Source organism: Homo sapiens, chromosome 12 (genome assembly GCF_000001405.40).
Source record: "Homo sapiens chromosome 12, GRCh38.p14 Primary Assembly".
Lineage (NCBI taxonomy): Eukaryota > Metazoa > Chordata > Mammalia > Primates > Hominidae > Homo > Homo sapiens.
The window spans coordinates 90,251,995-90,272,009 of record NC_000012.12 but is presented as its reverse complement, the minus strand read 5'-3'; the positions used below and the strand labels follow the sequence as shown (position 1 = coordinate 90,272,009).

Here is a 20,015-nt window from a genome sequence, read left to right as displayed (position 1 = left end):
GCTATTCCTTCTAGAGCATCAAATAGAAATAGATTGGTCCAAGCCCTAGTGAATGCATTTGGCTCATAATATAGTTTGCATTTAAATCAAATTTATAGTTGCCCAAAATAGATTCTCCAACTGCGCAGAAGTCATATAAGTAGCAGGCAGAATGATAAGGATTTTTTTTTCATGCATTCAAGAACACATAAATTGCTAAAGATACACTTTTCAATTGTTATCCATCCTACTGAGACTATTGCAAGGGTTCAGGTTCTCCTCAATTACACTGAAATGATGCAATTTTGTCTGCTGTTCTTTTAAATCCCTATTATCTCTAAATGGGTTTTTCTGCAATATTAAAAGGTGTCAAGAAAACATCAAGAAGCTCAAAAGGTTGTTGGTTTTTTCTTTATCTTTTTCTGCATTACTTTTTCCCCTTTTTTTTTCTTTTTGTGAGGGTTCATGGGTACAGTTTAACTTTATTCTTCCAAAGCAAGTGTTCTCAACTGGGACATTTTGCTTCTTAGGGGATATTTGACAAGGTTTGAAGACATTTTTGGTTTTCACAACTGTGCATGGATGGGGAGATTTGCTACTAGCTAGTGGGTAGAGGCCAGAGATGCTGCTAAACAATCTATATTGTATAGGACAGCCGCCACAACAAAGATTTATTCAGCCCAAATGTCAATAAGATTGAAATTGCTCCAGAAGAAAAACACAAGATTGATTAGAAATATCTTTAATATGACTTTTAGAGAAGGCAAATTTACATATTTTCACTCTATAATTTTGAATTTAGATTGGGGGATTTGTGTCTTGTGGGGCTTATACAAGTGGACCGTGCCTTGAAGTTGCCAATGAATCACTAAAATTACTATTTTTAAAAAAATAAGCCATAGATCTGATGCCACTTTTCTATTTCATATTCTCCTCTAATATATTGCTAATATATCTAATTGAAATTATTTGTCTGTGATGGAAAAATAGCCAGTTACATTTACCTAGAAAGAGTGGTATTTAAAGAAATTTTAAGTTGCTTTTTAAAAAACTTTTGATGAGAGGATAGAAGACACTCTATTCTAAAAGGTGGCATCTTGGCATTTGAAAAAGCAGCAGGAGAAGGAAGGTCCCTTATATCTTCCCCTTGCATTTTTCCCCTGAAGCAGGTCATAAAACCTAGGAAGGACCTTCCTATGCTCTTCTTTCCTTAAGCACATCATAGGACTCTCAGTCAAAAAGAACTCATAGGACTCTCAGTCAAAAAGAACTCACAGGACTCTCAGTCAAAAAGAACTCTTCCTTTACTTAGAGGAAAGAAATATTCTTATTAGCAAAGACACAGAAACACCAGAAACACTTAAAAAAAATAGGCCCTTGTCAAGTTCCCCCTAATAGAAAGGTATTAGATCATATCTTTTTGTCCTCCAATCATATTTCTCGACAACTGTTCACTCTTTATCAAACCTAAAGATAAAAATGCACGAGTTTACCGATTTCTTTGGGTCTTCATTTTCAAAGGCTCTCATATCCTGTAAAACCTATGTAAAATAAATATGTACGTGTTTCCATTCTTAATCTGTCTTTTTGTACAGTGGCCTCAGCTGTGAACCTAGTAGTAAGTAAGAGAAAGATATTGATTTTCCTCTGCTACACTGAGAAAGCTAAATTTTTATGTATATTTTGATTCTATCAACATATAGTGAAGTCTTTGGTGAACCCTAATTTTATACTTTGAGTGTTGGTCTTACCTTTAACACTTTTACTTTTTATTCTTTACTTTCATTTTTACTTTCCTTTCTTAGTTTTTTCAAGGGTTCTGATAGGCAACATTAGTATTTGAAGTTTTTCATATAAAAATGCTCTTAGATAATATGGAAAAGTTATACACATATTGACAGTTCAGAAATCACTTGATCCAAGGCACAATGTGATCAAAGCCAAACAGTAAAATCCACATGTGTGGGCTGGCTTGGGCCAGTCATCATACAAATAATAAAGGAATTAAAGACATCTGTCTTCTGATACCTGTGGTCACATCTGGTATGACGTCTTAGATAAAGAAACATTTTACCTTAACCTGACCTCAACCCCTTCTCAGGCCTTCAGGATTAGATTTACACAATTACATCAAAATTTTTAAAAAATCCTTTCTAAAACAGCTCCAACAGAGGAAAAAAAAATATGCTTCCTTCAGAGACTCCTACTAAACATCAAGTGTTCAATCTGGTGTTTCTCCAAACCTATCAGTAGAAATAAAAATGTCACTATTGAAAGCAGTGCTCCTTCACTGTGGATGGTTCTATCCCCCAAGAGATGCATGACATCAGGAGACATTTGGTTGTTGGTTTTGGACAATTGGGGAGGGGGGTATCACTATTGACATTGAGTCGGTAGAGGCCAGGGATGCTGCTAAATTCAGGACAGCTCCCCCACAGCAAAGAATTATACAGTCCCAAATATCAGTAGTATTAAGATTGAAAAACCCTGATTAAAAGGATGAACCAAGGATGAGTTCATAGGTGAACCCCATTCTCTTTAATATAGTTAGCTACAGAGTAAGAAACCAGACTGGAAAACATGTTTCTAAACTAATGGGGATTTTTTCTCTCTTTTTATTCTTTTACTTAGGGATTTTGGATTTAGTGCTTATGATAGTGAAAGTGTATGTTTAAAAATTTTATAAAGCAAATTAAAGGCTTCATTGCATTTTTATTCCCCTTTTCTCATGTTACTCGACATCATCCCACAGTATGCAGGCTTTCAAGGCAAACTAGTCTGTCAGTCACTTGAGAGTACAGACCACTATAGAAGCCAATTCTGACAAATCTGATTTGAAATAGTTCCAAAAAGATTCTCCTGAGACTGACTTTTCCATGGATTACACCTAAAGGATGCTCTAGGGCCCTTCAACTGATATGTCACTTTGTGAATACAGCAGCAAAATCCCTGACCACTAGTCCTCTTGGGTGCTCACAGAGTAAAGCTTGAGTAAGACATAGTTGGAATAAATAAAAATTAAGAGGTGGTACAAAGGAAAAATATAAATAGCTTTGAATACGGTTTACCAAAATTAAACAGTAGATAAAGAAATTAAAACAAGATTAAAGGGGGAAAAAGTAGATTATGATTATGAATAATGGGTTATTAATGAAAAACAGACATTCGGGCCATGTTTTTGACCTTTGATGTTAACAAGAACCACAGACAGCACTTTCACCCTGCTGCTGCCTAACCCATTGTGGGCCAGTTGAGGGACATTGTTAGACTGAAAAATATCGTGGTTCTGAATTGTGTGGTCAGTTTCATTTCAACTTTTGACACATACAAATTGTGAAAGGGCTTTTGATGTTCTAAATAACATAAACCAGCCTAGTTTATTTTCTGTAGTTCACAGTAGATGCACACTAAATATGCATATGTTCCACAAGTATGAAAAATATTAATACAGATAAGTTACTCTGACGAAAACATTTAAAACTGACATTTTATAGGTGAGCAAACTAAAGCACAGAGTTTATGTAATTTGCCCAAAGGTTCTTATAGAGTGAAGGGAAGAGCCAGGATCTAAACATTACTATGCAAATCAAAATAGAAAAATGTAGATAAGAATCACCAGTAAATTCATCACCAAGTTTTTTTCTTACATCTTTGTATATATTTAAGCCTAGATGTACACATAAGTTTTTAAAAGTAAGAGTATATTATTCATTTTGTCTTGCAATATTCTTTCCTCTCTTAACAATGCATCGTAAACATTATTCAAAATCAGCAATCAGCAGGTCCCATATTGGTATCTGATTAGTAATCTGTGAAACCGTATTCCACAAAATGTTAAGAGTTGTGCTGCCAGAACCTAAACCAAAATGAAAAGATAAACAAAACCAAAGTGAATAGTTGCCAAGGTTGGAGGGACAAGAAAATGTGGAGTTGTTGTTCAATGGGTATGAAATTTCAGTTACACAAGATGAATAAGTTCTAGAGATTTGATGTAAAACATAGTACCTATAGTTAACAATACAGTCTTGTGCACTTAAAAAATTGCTAACAGGGTACATCCCATGTTTAGTGTTCTTACCACAGGGGGAAAAGGGGAGCACACAAAAACTCTTGGAAGTGATGGATGTATATATTACCTTCTTGTGGTGATAGTTTCATGGGTATATGCATATATGTCCAAATTTATCAACTTGTATACATTAAATATGTGCAGTTTTCCTATATTGATTACACCTCAATAAAGCTGTTAAAAAAAGAAAAAACAGAAATTAACAAAAACATATTTTAAAGGTCTTGCTAATATAAATAGCTATCATTAATGTTTTGCTAATATTATTAACTATTATTTCAAAGGGCAGTGTACACTTAGGGTAAAGTTCATCATGATGGTAGTTGATGTAAATATGTATCTTTTAGTAGATCTTAAATTCAACTTTTTCAGCCTATTTCTTGTTAGATCCTATTAGACTGTTAGTGTTTTTAACTCATAATAGGCCTGATTATGAGCACAAACAGGAATATATATAACTGAAGACCACAATGTACAGCAATAAGCTCAACGAAAACAGGAACATCATCTTTTTATGGATCTCACTCTTCCCATAGGAATCATCATGTGACTTAACATGCAAACTTCTGACATATGGACCAAGTGAGGTTCCAGTGTCAATGAGAATATAAATACCAGTGAAAATGTATTTAGAAATTACAGCATTTTCTTTCCATATCATCGTGAATCAGCTTAAGAATCATGGCCTTATGAAATATACTTCTGTGAAATGTTACAGGTAGAAGAGAGATTACTATGAATTAATGAGAGAGTGGGAGGAGAGGAAATAGAAATATTCCAGATGGACTTGTATTTCAAGTAAACTTTCCAAGAAAGAAAGGAAGGAATTCTACATAAAAACATGAGGATGTCAAGGAAGTCTATGTACTTCATTTGTTCATTCTTAAAATTAGTATTTCTTGAGTATGTCTAAATATCAAATATATGTTGGTGGAAGAAAAGCCAGTGGAGAAAGATGTATTCTTTCTCTCATGAGATGTATTCCTTCTCTTATAGAGGTATTCTTGTCTCTCATGTATTTTTCTCCTCTCTCCACTGGCTTTGATAAGGAAAAATTGAATGCAGGACCAGAGACTGAACTATCGTAACATACAAAAAGACAGCTTTCTTTCTGCAGTTAGTAGAGCTGGGTCGATATATGAAAATATCTCATCTAGAAAGATACAGCTTTGCCAAGCTCAAGCTCAAGCTGTGCCAGGGACCAGAAATGAATGCAGAAGTAGAAGAATGGACTAGAAAGAACCAGTATGGCAATACAGAACCAGAAAAACAAAAGAGATGGTAACCCTGAGGTCAATTGCAGTCATTTCCTTCATCATCTTAGGACAAATTTGAATGATGGAATCCAGTGAGCAGAAACTGGAAGTTAAACCAGAGCCATCTCATATGTCAATCATCCCTTATCAATTAATTTCTAAATTCATAAATATCTACTCAGTGTTTGACATATTCCAAACAATGTGTTGGGTGTTGACAATACAAAAATAAAACAGATAGACATGTTTTTTGCTTCCACATTTGTTTTTTAATTGTTGTTGTTATACCTCTGAATTATTTAACAAAGTACATATAGTCTATTTCATAGTGTCAGATGTCATTCTTAATTAAATTTTATGTACAGGTCTTCACCAGGAAAAAAAGACACCTTCAATATTGGGTAGGGAGAAAAGTGAACATGGGGGATTCCCTAAGTGTGCAAAATTGTTTAGAGTAGTACATAAATCTATATCATCTCACTGAGATATGCCAACAGCTTCAAGGACATGGGTATAGCTTCTTGTTTTCTGGAAATCCATTATGCGGAGTATCTCAATTATTTTAAAAGAAAAAAGTCATCTGAGTAACCAAAACAGAAATATAGTCCTGCTTTGTTATACCAATACGTATGTAAAAGAAAGAGAGAATACATAAAGATAACTCATTGACAGTACTATTGAAAGATGGTTTTAAATTTTTCCTCTCCTTTCAAAATTTAGTTTTAACTTTTAATATCCTTGGTCTCAATACCAAGCAATTGCATGAATCCTGCAGTCCCAACTTTATGTGCTATATTAAAAACATACACGCATTATTATTTCAAACCATACCAAGGAGATAACACTGCCTTCCCAGAGTGAATAGATCATGCCAGTGAAGTAGCTCACAGGGGATAGAAAAAAAGGGCTGGAAAAGAAAATGACAGGAATAAAAGAGAGAAAAGATAGATAGAGATCAAGAAGGGAAGACATCCCTTTTCCAATCCAAACAAACTTTATATGTGCAGCAAAATCTAGATGTGGTATGTTGCTTTTTTTTTCTTTTGGCCCAATATTTTTATCTTTTTTTTTACTTTTATTTTAAGTTCAGGGATACACATGCAGGAAGTACAGGTTTGTTACATAGGTAAATGTGTGCCATGGAGGTTTGTTGTACAGATTATTTCATCACCCAGGTATTAAGCCTAGTACACTAGTTATTTTTTCTAATTCTCTTCCTCCTCCCACGCTCCACCCTCAAAAAGCCCCAGTGTGTGTTGTTCCCCTCTATGTGTCCATGTGTTCTCATCATTTAGCTCCCACTTATAAGTGAGAACATGTGGTATTTGGTTTTCTGTTCCTGCATTAGTTTGCTAAGTATAATGGCCTCCAGTTCCATCCATGTCCCTGCAAAGGACATGATCTCATTCTTTTTTATGGCTGCATGGTTTTCCATGGTGTGTGAGTACCACATTTTTTTAATCCGGTCTATCACAGACAACTTACAGTATGGGAGAAAATTTTTGCAAACTATGTATCTGACAAAGGTCTATCCAGCATCTATAAGGTACTTAAGCAAACTTACAAGAAAAAAAAATCCTTATTAGGAAGTTTTTAGGCAAATACTATGAACAGATAATTCTCAGAAGAAGACATACATGCAGCCAACAAGCATGTGAAAAATAGCTCAACATCACTGATCATTAGAGAACTGCATATCAAAATCACAATGAGATACCATCTCATACCAGTCAGAATGACTATTATTAAAATAAAAAAATAACAGATGCTGGCAAGATTGTAGAGACAAAGGAATGCTCATACACTGTTGGTGGGAGTGTAAATTAGTTCAACCACTGTGGAAGGCAATTTGGCGATTCCTCAAAGACCTAAAGACCAAAATACCATTTGACCCAGCAATTCCATTACTGGATATATACCCAAAGGAACATAAATCATTCTATTTTAAAGACACATGCATGTGTATGCCACTTTTTTAACTTCATCACTTTCAACCTTTTGTACTTCATGAAATAATTATTCCCTAATTGAAGAAGTTCTTTAATGTAAAAGAGCTATGAATTAAGCCATGAAACTGATTAAACCTTTGGAATTCATCAGGAGGCTCTGCTAGAAGTCATCATTATAAAGGATTGTAAAGGATCAAGGATTAATAATAATAACAAAGAAATAATAAAATAATAGCCTCGAAATTTGGCATCCAACAGTGCAAATTACTTTTTTCTTTGCAAATTAGATTCCCTTTCATAGGACTGTTTCCTGTTAAACTATGGTTTTAATCTACTTCCTTTTCTAAAACTTTCATATCTAAGGAGTCAGTCAAATAGCTAGAGCTACAAGAACAGCCCAGCTTTATGGTTTCCACCCTACTCATGGGCCCAACTGTGGCACATAACAAAGGGGCCAAGTCTTGGTTTTTGGTTTTTCATTTTTCTTTCAAAGGGGGACTTGGAATACTTGAGGTAGGAAAGGTGAGAGAACAAGTCATTATGTATTTGGAGAAATTACTTATTATTTATTATCTAAATGTATTATTTTCCTCCTATGGTAATATAGGCAGCCATAATCATGTGAGCTCTGAACATGAGAGAGAAATAATTCAATTCAGCAAAATTATACTGATTGAAATGGATGTGTAAAAAATATTGAACTACATTTTATAGGAAGTGTCCCTTTTGTTCATAGGAATTATGGAGAAGTTTGAATAAACTAGACAGTGTTATAGGTGTCTATAAGACATTTATAGTTCTACTGTTGAAGTACTACCTTGAAAAACTCAGCTCAGATAATACTGAGAATTACCTCCTCGATAATTCACAATCTTCAGAATGCAGCTGCTAAGACAAATGAAGTCACAGGATTTAGGTAAAAACCAAGATTCTCTTTTCAGCTGTGCCTCCCTGACCTATCTGGATTAAAAAAAAAAAAAGTTATTCTTTACAGGGCATTTTGTAGCTTGACCCTTCTACATCTTTTCATATCTCACCATTGGAATATCAAAACAGTTATACGTTTATAGATTACAACATCCTTAAGAAGTACACTAACTAGTGAGCACAGAAATAATTAAAATCGTGGAAAAAAAGTATGAACGAATAAGATAGATTTCCTAAAATCACAGACAAAAACAATTTCTGTTACTACACACATGAGAATCATACTTTTTTGTCTGACCTCTTATTGCTGACCCCTTTTCCTAGGAATATGTGAGCCTGGGCTGCAATTCTAGCATCTGAGATTGAGTGTGGAAAGGTGGGAGGGAAACAAACGTTTGATCAAAGAACAAAGTGGGATTGATATCCAGGTCCCAGATGAGACTGTGGAAAGAAAGTAGAGTGGAAACATTAAGTGTAAACAGAAGATGGAGACTAGATATTAAGGAAGATAGATTTGGGAGGTAAAGCAGACATTTCCAGACATAATGAGATGCACAGCACTGGAGCCCTTTGCTCTGTGCCACAGTTGAGCCCATGGTTGGGGTGGGAACCGTGAAGCTGAGCTGTTCTTTTGTGGTAAGGATTCAATTACCTCCTTACGTATGAAAATTTTAGAAAACAAAGTAGGAGAAGAGACAGCCATGAGAAGAGACAGCTGGTTGAAGTGTTCCATTTTGACAAACATTATCTGTGGTTCTGTGTCAACCTGGGGAGACACAGGTTTGTTTTTAATTTTTAAGCTCAGGAGTACATATGCAGGAAGTACAGGTTTGTTACATAGGTAAATGTGTGCCATGGAGGAATAAAAGTAGGAATAAAAAAGTAGGAATAAAACCATAGTTTCACAAAAAAATCCTATGAAAAAATATAATTTGCAAATAGAAAAGGAATTTGCATCTTCGAATGCTAAAAATAAATTAGGTCTCTGAATCAGTCTACATTTAATAAATCAAAATGTTATCTTGTCTGAAAAAAAAGGAAGAAAAGAAAAAAAGTAGTTTGAAATGAGGGTGTTTCAATTACTTCATAAAGTGCAGTTACTGCACATATGAGATTTTCCTCAATTTCAGAAAAAAAAATTAATGATTGAACCTATGAAAGGTAAGATTTTTAAAAACAAAGTAGGTGAGATTGTGCTTTCAGAAAACTAGTGAGACCATAGAGAAGTTAATGTCTAGAGGGAGCACTCTATTGAGGCCACATGCCCAATAAAGAATTAAGCCTTGGTCACAAGTTGAGAGCAGAACATGCTGAAGGAGTGAGCCTTCATGACTCATTGCTATTCAGACAAACCAAATAATGAGAGAGGAGAAGGTAGGAATTCCAAAGGGCAAAAATAGATAATTTTTATGTCAGTACAGGATTACTTGAGGATCAGAAGAGGCTTCTTTGATAGTCATTCTCTTTCAAGTTGCCAGGAGGAAGGAAAGGACCCAAGAGAGCCATGAGTAATTCTGGAACACTGGTAATAAGCCTGAGATCCAGAGAGAAAAATATAGAAGATACACTGAGAAGACCAGGAAGCCTAATCCGAAAAGCATAAGCAATCCCATTGGACCAGTGGGAATCTACGAGTTTAGAATCTGAAGAGCTTGGTTTTAGCAGAATTTGAATGGATTTGGCATGTCTCACTTTTAGACTGAAACAAAGTGAATGAATCAAGATAGGAATTCTTAGACTTTCCTCTATTTGTATTTTTGACCAGAAAACCTATTATTAGTATTATTTTAAAAAGTTTTTGTAGATTTTCATCATCCTTATTATTTGGAATTTTAGAAAAATCTATTTCCTTGTATGTGTGCAGCTAAACCCTTAACAACCCCCAATAGGGTTCTTTCTTCCAGAAAATACAGCGGTGGAGATGATGAAAACCCAGGCTGGGTCTCAGGCAGTGGCAAACAGGAATTAGAGTAAACAATCTTCAGCTTCATGGAAGCAAAGAAAAGATAAAGGAGTCAGTCTAGGATGAAGGTAGAGCCCAGTAGAAAGTCTTTGCCTGCCTTATAACAGTTTATTCAAAAGAGGTGGCACATGTAATTGTTACTGGGATTTCTACTTCTTTATATAAAATCATCCATAACTTCTCCAAGCCATAGTGAGTTTTTAAAGTAGAGAAGAGTAGGTCAGGGAGTAGATCTGCTCCCATTACAAACTTTAGTCCCTATCACAGACATTCTAAGCATATTTTTTACTCCAGGATCTAAGTCACTGGTTAAAATGTTCACTGCCCAAGAAGCAATCTCAATGGAATGCCATTTGCTGTATCTCCCCAGGTTGACACTGAACCACAGATAATGTTTGTCAAAATGAGACACTTCAACCAGCTGTCTCTTCTCATAGCACATGTGCTCACAGTTGTCAGTGAAGAATTAAGACTGTAACAGCAGGGACAGTAAGGATTAATCTTGACAGTTTAGTAAAAGGAATGCACAGTTTAGCTTTGTCCAAGTCAGGATGCCTTCCTATTTTAGAAAGAGGATGATTTCAGTTAATAAAATTTAATTTGAAAAGAGTTGTGGATAAAAGAACTATAGAAGATATCTTGAGTGACAGCACACCAGGAAAACATTCAGAATTCTTGGTGACTCCTTTTCAATCAGAACGCCCAGGATTGCAATAAAGTTTTTGAGGATAAACATAGGACTAGTGGAAGAAAAAATAATGCTTGGTAAAATAAAAAGTCACATAAACTTTTTGTCAGGGTTCAAAAGAACATCTGACAGATGCAATACTTCACTATGTAACTCCATCTCTTGAAAAAGGAATATTAAGAAGGAAGAAGACAAATACTTTCTTTTACAGTCACAGTGAAATTATGCTTAAAATGACTGTTGGGATTTTCTACAAATAGAATGTTAGAATGTTTGCTTTTCCAGCTTCCTAGAAATATGGTTCTGTGATTGGAACAGATGTGCTGTTTAGCTCTTTCTCCTTGACCTTTTCACAAGTCTCGTTATTCCAATCAGGTAATGTACAGCTGTTAAAATAAATCTGCCCTCCAGGTTTAGGGAGGATGATGAGGCCTTGCACACTGAAGCTTCTGACTTTGTTTCTGGCATCATGGAACAGAGGTTATAAACTCAGTAATCCAGAGAATATGATAAACACACCCTAATAATCTTGAAAAAAACCAATCCAACTCCATTATTTCCATAAGGAGTGAGATCACCCTGAGAAGGGTGCTGTGGTTAGATGGGACATGAGCACATTAAATCTTCAGATTCCATGCAGCAAGCAGATCTGTATTTTGGGATTGATATCCAACTTTTCTGCCCAAGTGAGGCTTGTACACAGCTCCCATTATTTTTATTATGTTTTTGGTGATCTGCACAACTCTTAAACAATGAAGAAAGAAAATATGAGTGAAGAGACACATAAGTCTCTGGTTCTCAGGTCAAAGGCTCAGCAAGCAGCTGTTCAACCCCAAGGGCCCTGCAGAGATTCCCAGCAGTCGTCCTGAGGATGAGGCTCTAGGCTTGCATATTTGTCAGGGCACTTACATCCTGGACAGCACTCCAGTGCAAAATTGACCAAAAAATCAGGTAAGGCAGGCACTCACACAGCCCATCTGGTAAAGCATCCACCCTAGAGTCTGATGTGTCTCTAGACCTGGGTATCTCCACCCCATGAAGTGTACCTGACAATTCCCCACGGACTGGAAAGAGAGAATGAAGCTTATGTTTATATTTTTTAATTTTTATTTATTTATTTATTTATTTTGAGATGGAGTCTTGCTCTGTCGCCCAGGCTGGAGTGCAGTGGCGAGATCTGAGCTCACTGCAAGTTCCGCCTCCCAGGTTCACGCCATTCTCCTGCCTCAGCCTCCCAAGTAGCTGGGACTACAGGCGCCCGCCACCATGCCCGGCTAATTTTTTTTATTTTTAGTAGAGACGGGGTTTCACCATGTTAGCCAGGATGATCTCAATCTCCTGACTTCATGATCCTCCCGCCTCAGCCTCCCAAATATGTTTATATTTCATCACATTATTTTAAATCAATATTTTACGTGTGTTTGAAAATGTGCATAATACACTGGAACACTAGATTGCATATCAAATAATAAGTAAATATACATATAGGGAAGAATGCTTAATTTTTTATTGGTAAGAAGACATGCAATCTAAAAAGTTTGGACACAGCTGTTCTAGATTGCCCCCTTTCCCCAGCCAAATGTTCATTAAAAAGGCAAGGCCTCAGAAAGACATGACTGCCATAACAGCCCTCTAAATGTCAGCAAACCTGCTGATTGAGGACAGAGATTAGACTAAGGTTACCATAGGGCAGAGGGAAGGAAAAAGGAAGGAAGGGAGAAATGGGAAATGGAAGTCCCTTTCTTCAGATGACATCTTTCTCCAATAATAAACCTTTAAACCAGAGCCCAAACTATCCACCTTCCTCATCCTCGACTCTCTGACATACCCCACCTAATTTGGTGTGAACCACGGTAACTCTCATCTAATATCTGTTAAACCCAGGAACAAGATCCAGGGTAAAGGGTGCCATCTTGGGAGGGTGTGTGTAGTGAGTCAAAGAGACCAAATATACTCAGGAAAATGCAATGGCAAGATTCAGGAACATGCAGCTGCAGAGTGTGGTCCTCAGGTAGTTTGTCTGAAAGGTGTCCATGAGCAGAGGACACTGACCTCAAAATTGAAAAACAAGGCCAGGGCCAGGCATGGTGGCTCACACCTGTAATCCCAGCACTTTGGGGCAGATCACCTGACGTCAGGAGTTCAAGACCAGCTTGGCCAACATGGTGAAACCCTGTCTCTACAAAAAATACAAAAATTAGCCGGGTGTGATGGTGGATGCCTGTAATCCCAGCTACTCGGGAAGCTGAGGCAGGAGAATTACTTGAACCTGGGTGGCAGAGGTTGCAGTGAGCCGAGATGCTGCCATTGCACTCCAGCCTGGGCAACAGAGTGAGACTCTGTCACAAAAAAAAAAAAAAAAAAAAAAAAGGAAATAAAGAAAAACAAGGCCAGGCACAGTGGCTCACACCTGTAATCCCAACACTTTGGGAAGCTAAGGTGTGTGGATCTCTTGACCTCAGGAGTTCAAGACCAGCCTTGGCAACATGGTGAAACCCTGTCTATACCAAAACATACAAAAATTAGCTGCTGTGATGGCATGTGCCTGTAGTCCCAGCTACTTGGCGGGGCTGAGGCTGGAGGATCACATGAACCTGGAAGGTTGAGGCTGCAGTGAGTCGTGTTCATGCCACTTCACTCTGGCTGGACAACAAAGTGAGATCCTGTCTCAAAAAAAAGAGAAAAAACCAAGAGCTCAAGTTCAAGATCACAGGTTGTAAAGAGCACAGATTGTAGACAGGTGAACCCCAGGCCAAGTCCAGCCTGTAAACATGATTTGTTTGGTCATAGGTCATAGGTCTTTTTTAAAATTTTGAACTGGTTGTAAGCATTTGCAACTTGGGTGATTTTATACAGAAAATGTTTACATTTATGGCTTTTCTTTATAAAAGACAGATCTGAAAGCATTGTACCCACATTCCTGAATAGCCATCATGGGCTGAGGACAAGTTTTGTGCTTCCTAAACAAGGAGGGCAGAGGCTGTCATTGTCATTGCGTCCCTGCAAGGACTGCTGCACGCAGCTATGCTTGTTTCCATTGCTCTAGACTCACAGAGCAGCAACACAGAAAGCTGAGAGAGGTCAGGAAGGCAAAAAGAAACCAAGGATGAGCAGGTCATTCTCATACCTCCTCTCCCTGACATCATTGCTGCCATGTGCCAGGCACTGCCCTAGGAATCAGCAGCAGGAAGAATCTAAAGCAATCAGAAAAGATGAGGTGCCTGCTTCTATTGAACATATATTCTAGTTGAGAAAACTGGATAATAAATCAATAAATATCAGATATCAGGGACAATAATATCTAATATATTTCTAATGCTGTAATGAGCCAGTCACCATTCTCTCTCTTATGTGGTTTGTGTTCTTTTACACATATGAATTCCCGCAGAAACCTCATGAAAGATAATTAATTACATCCTATTTACAAATAGGAAATTGAATAGTGGAGACAAGCAACTTTGATAAAGTCATACAACTACTCCGTGGTGGAGTAATAATGGGTCCCAGCAGTCTGGCTTCAGAAGCAAGGCATTTAACCCCCGTGCCACATCATTAAGTATCAAGCAGAGTGTTAAAATGGACTGATATAAAAGAGAGGGACTTACCAGACAGCTACTTTAGATTTGTAGATCAAGAAAAGCCTTTCTCTGGAGGTGATATTTAAGCTGAGATCTAAAGGACACAACTATGCAAAAACTAGAATAACATAGTAGGCAAAGGGAAAAACTAATGTAAAGGACTAAAGTTGGAAAGAGCTTGGCTTGTTAGGGACCTGGTGACCAGCATGGCTGTAGCTTGATGGGAGGGTGAGAGGGTTAGAATTACAAAATGACATTGAAGAGGAAAGCATAGGCCACATTCTCTCTGGGCTTCTCATGTAAGGAAATGAAGCTTAGACTTTATTTCATTTGGGAGCCACTGGAGGGTTATAGATTGAAGGGTGCCATAATTGGATTTGCATTCCAAAAACTTTGTAACCACATTTACCTGGGCCCTTTATAAACTGACCTTAATGTACATTTCTAGATTCCTCTATTGTTTTTTTTCCTTCATACATTTTGTCTTGTAACTCCAGTATTCCAGTACCTAGTGTTGTGCTGGAAAACCAACTCTGTGGAAACAAAACCCTGTTTTGTAGCTGTAGCCAATTTCGGTGGTGTAAATACTTCCACGATAGCTCATTTCAAGCTATCAACAATTTAACAGCTAACTTGCAAAATTCCTGAATATTTAACAATCAGCTCTTGAGAGTCCATTTCAGCAGGACTCAACCCAAATATCTTGACCTTCTGAAGCTCAACAGGTCTTTACATGACATGCCTTTCAGTATCCTGTGTTTTTTGCCTGCAAAACCTAGCCATTATAGAGCTGATGGTTATAAAAACAGAATCTTTGGATTCAGATGGACATGGATTCGAACTTCAGCTTTGTAAATCAGTCATGTGATCTTAGGAAAAGGCCCTAACTCTCTAAACCTCTGTTATCCCATTTATAATATAGGAGTGGTAACAGTTCCTACTTCAGGGTGTTGTTACACAAGAATCAAATAATATTTAAGAAGCATTCAGCAGAGTACTTGAGATATTATTTTATGTACTTCATAAGAACCTTATTTTACTCATCTACTCACTTCTATTAGGAGTTGGGGAAAGCTGTGAAGTTTGTAAAGTTTACCTTTTGGTAGCCTGTCTTTCAAGAAGTAGGACTCCTGCCTGAGACAGAGATACCTCTATGATGCCTTCTGGGATCCACACAAGAATCTTTGCCTTTCGTGTGGAAAATAATTACTAAATGATAGAAGATATATTTGATATATTATATAAGATAAATTTGATATATTACATAAGGTAAATAATGGCTTAAAGTATGAGCATTTATTTTATAATAGAGTTTTTTGATGAAAGACTTTATGACTCCAGCAGTAGACATTTCTTGCCACTGGATTTTATCCTGCTATCCTGCTATAAAAAATTTTGTGATTTTTTTTTTTCTTACAAGCAACCACTTGAGCTAAGTAACTAAGTCTTAGCCTCCTCCTGTTGGTTTTTATTCACTGGAATCCTATAGACACTTCATCTTAATGTTTAGTTGTATTACCATGAAAAAATAGCTTCATTCGTTGACAACTAAAGGTGTTGGTTCTCATGACAGCTTTATTCTATCTTTGTGACCTTGTTTAACTTCCAAACTCTCTGAGACTTCCCACATTGGAATGAATTCAGAGTCTATATCTGCTCTAAAATTCAATGGTTATATATTTTAAAATATTTATAAACCCCGAAAACACCTCCAAAGCCAACAGGAAAAAATACATTTGGCACTATTCTTGTGAGATTACTATAAACTGAGGCCTCTACAGCAAATCAAAGGAGAGTATTGAGGCAATTGTATGAATAATTAAAAAGCAAATTAAAATAAAGCAAAACAAGAGCTTGCATTTCTAAAGGTATCAGAATTCATGTAATTTATAGTCTTCTTTAGAAATCACTAGAACTACAGTGTGTTCTGTACTCATGTTTAGGAAATCATCAAAGTGGCATTTTCCTTTAAATTCAGGTTTTTAGGGGAGATCCTATATCAAAATCTTGCTTACAGAAATAGGACAATATCAAGTCAAATGTGTATAAAAGCAATCCAGGTCTACTTGTTAATTTACTAGTCAAATTTTGAAAGATATTTAAGAATACTAGAAATAAATCCATCAGATCAGATGACTGTATTCTATCATTCCTTTAAATGTATTCTGCCCTTGGCCAGGTATGGTGACTCATGCCTGTAATCCTAGTACTTTGGGAGGCTGAGGCAGGAGGATCACTTGAGGACAAGAATTCAAGACCAGCCTGGACAACAAAGTAAGACCCTGTCTCTACAAAAATTTAAAAAATAAAATAAATAAACTGTTAAAAATGTATTGTATTCTAATCAGTGTATTTATGAATCTAAAACCTCATACAAGTGCCTGCCTTAAAGTATGCATCCAATGTACCCCAATATTTTTAACTCAAAGATTGACATTGCAATGTTCTAAATTATCTCTATATATTGCCAACACATTTAGTTAGAGAAGCTGTAAGTTAGTTCCTGAAAGGGAATATGCAGGGTATAATGTTCCCTGTGCAGTGTAACCAATAGGCCAGTGGTATTTGAACTGCTATAGTGGTTTTATATCTCTCTTCAGCAAAGCAGGGCTTGAATCCAGAAAGAGATTGCAGCTTACTATTAAGTATTTTATACCAGCTGGTGAAATATCCATGACCAGGATCAAAGGAATTTTATACTTGCATATATTTCAGATGGCAATAAGTAATAAGCCCCCAACATTGCTTGTTATCTCCAATTGCTAACCCAGAAATAAATTATAAAATATATTTTCTGGCATGTTTCACAGCTCTGGCGATTAGCAAATCTGCATTATGGAACATGTGCAATTTAAATTATCAATCACATTTTTCTTTATTGGGCCTTGCACATCTATGATTAGTTCAAGAATAAGAACCATCAAAATTGAAAGAGAATTTTAAAATGTATAGAGTTTAAAATCCTGCATATTGAAAAGTACATGCCCATAAAGCAGGGACAAATGATTTAATAAATCCCCCATCCATATTTTTTCACTTGCATTATTTCCCTTATTCTGTAATTCCTAAAAGATGAAAATTATCTTTTAGATTCTCTGAAACTTGCAACATCTCCCAGGACAGCATCTTCACAGTCCCAGCTGACTCTTATATGTTGATTTTAGAGTTAGTTCATTAATTAAGCACTAGTCTCATCTGAAGTGCACAGCAATTAGGATGCCAAGGACCGCTTTATGGAGATGCAAGTGCATGAGTACATCTGTAACATATTCTTGTCTGGATTCCTGAAAAGTCTAGAATCTTCTTTAAAAAGAAAAACATTTTTTTTCTCACATTGTTGCCTTGATGCTCTATTGATCAACCAAGACAATTAAATGATTCATGTTGCTGGAAAAAAACTCTGCTAAATATGGCTGGCTGCTTTTCTATCCAGAAAAGTCCACAGAGGCCATGAAAGGCTGCTCTGATATATCCAGGCACTTTTCCACGAGAGGGTGAGAAAACTCCACCCATCTCATAGAAATGCTTAACTTGGCCTTGGGGTGGCACTGGACCCCAGATGGATTTAGCAATGAGACCAGAATAGCCACCACAAGCCTTTGAACAGGCCCCAGCTGTACCTGTTGCCACGGGTGAACCGGAAAACCCACATGACTGAGGTCTTCCGGTGGTTTGACATGCTCTCCTCAGGCTTTACTGGAGAGGTGTGACTCAGCTGTGAGCCACGGCCAGGCCTTCCTCAATCCTAAGGGAAGAATCAAAGAGAGAGAACTGAATGTTTGCTAACGCAACTGCCATCTGCCACCGTTAAGTCTTATGGTGACAGAGTGCACGTTAATGCCAGATAGACTGAGAACACACACCATCTGTTCATTGCCCTGAAATAAAATTAACTAGGTCATCTGGATTTGGAAGCCTATCTGGAATTGTTGACATCTATTCCCAACCTTGAGGATGGAAACTTTTCCCCTTCTTACATCATTCAAATTACCCAGATAAATATTTTCACTCTAATCCTCCTAGCGGAGAAAGTAAATAGATAATATATTGATAACAATTTACGTGTTACCAACGAATAAAGGATTTTCTAGCCCCTACATTATTATATTTGTAAGCAATTAATATTAAAAATTGCTATCCAACTGAATCCTTTCTACAAGGAAAAATGTATAATAAATTTAATTTCAAGAAGAATGTGCAAACTCTGCGTGGCCTTCAGTCTTTGTTGACGAGCTAACGAGATGCAAATTTCTTGGCTTCCAGGCATTCAGACTAAAAAGGAGAAGTAAAGAGCTATGAAACATTTTGCTGCTGTTTACTAAAAGATGATAGGACTGTGGCAACTAAATCTTGGAAATGACTGAAGGAGTGGTAAAAATATTTTTTTCTTCAAAAGAGTGGTGCAAAAAAGCTCTAATTCCATTTCTGCACAGAAAAACCTGCCTCTGATCTCCCTACTCAGTATCTCACCTTCCAATCAACCCCTCTTATTCTGTTCTCATATTTTTCAGTCTAGTATTGGTCCCGGTCAGTACTGGTGTAGTAGTGAATTTCAGATGGAAAGACGATACAGGAAAGAAAATAGAATAAATTATTACTTTTAGTTCTTTATGTTAGCACTTAACGGAAATACAGCTTTCTTAAAGAATGCTCTTTGAAAGTTTCTATTTCCAAGAGTCAATCTAAATTAAATTACAAGAGAAGTTACTGCTTTTAAGAGTTATGGGTATCAATAACAGGAAATAACACAGTTCATTTAGACAAACTATAATGTGCTGGCTTGAAATAAATCTAGTGAAGCTATCCTTAGGTCCCAAGAGAGTCAAGTTTTAAAATGACCTTCCCTGAGCTGGATTATTGACTAACCTCTGTTACTGGCAATATCTGGGAGCAGAAATTTCTCTAGCCTCTGCTTATGCCTTAAATTTTTAGTAATTTGAAGAGAATATGTCCTCAGCCAATTCCTAAATTCATAATGAGTGATTATATGTTTACCATTAAATTTAAAGTTTTGAAAAAGCAAGGAGATATACAGTGTAATGCCTTGTGTTTATATCTAGTTAGATAAATAAGATATAAAAACTATGCATAAAAATATGACAAAAATACCAAATTATGTGAAATGTGCCAAAGAAAAGGCACCCTGACTCTGCAATCTAAAGTAGGCCCCCAATATTCTTTCACAGGGTACCTTATATTTCCCCTTCATAGCTTCAACCACTGTCTATATAGTATTTATTTCTAGTTTCTCTGAATATATGTGTCCCTACCTCACACTCATTCCTAGCTTCTTGAGGATAGGTACTATATAGGATTGTATTCATTGCTTAATTCTATTGCCTTAAACAGTGGCTGAAATATGGTGAGTGTTCTATATTTGGTGAAACAATTTTTGAAATACACCATATTCATGGTCTAGTGGGATATAATAAAACTTAAACAGATTATAGTAACTTCCCCTCCTTCACTGACTTATTTATTTATTCAACAAGTTTGTTGAGCAGATGCTATGTCAATCTTGCCTTTAGTGATATAGATATATATTATGAATAAAATGCATAAAACTACTTGCCACGTGGATCTCACAGTGGAGAAGATCATTATTA

General features: G+C 36.5%; 1 long non-coding RNA gene across 1 annotated transcript; it reads right to left on the bottom strand.

Annotated features, from left to right (window-relative positions):
* Positions 1 to 8,115: 8,115 nt before the first annotated feature.
* On the bottom strand, positions 8,116 to 18,185 carry LOC105369892 (uncharacterized). The gene is made up of 3 exons (XR_945183.1): positions 18,030 to 18,185; positions 15,506 to 15,618; positions 8,116 to 8,213 (listed from the first exon to the last, which is right to left on the bottom strand). It is a non-coding gene; the product is annotated as an uncharacterized LOC105369892 (long non-coding RNA).
* Between the last annotated feature and the right edge of the window lie 1,830 nt (positions 18,186 to 20,015).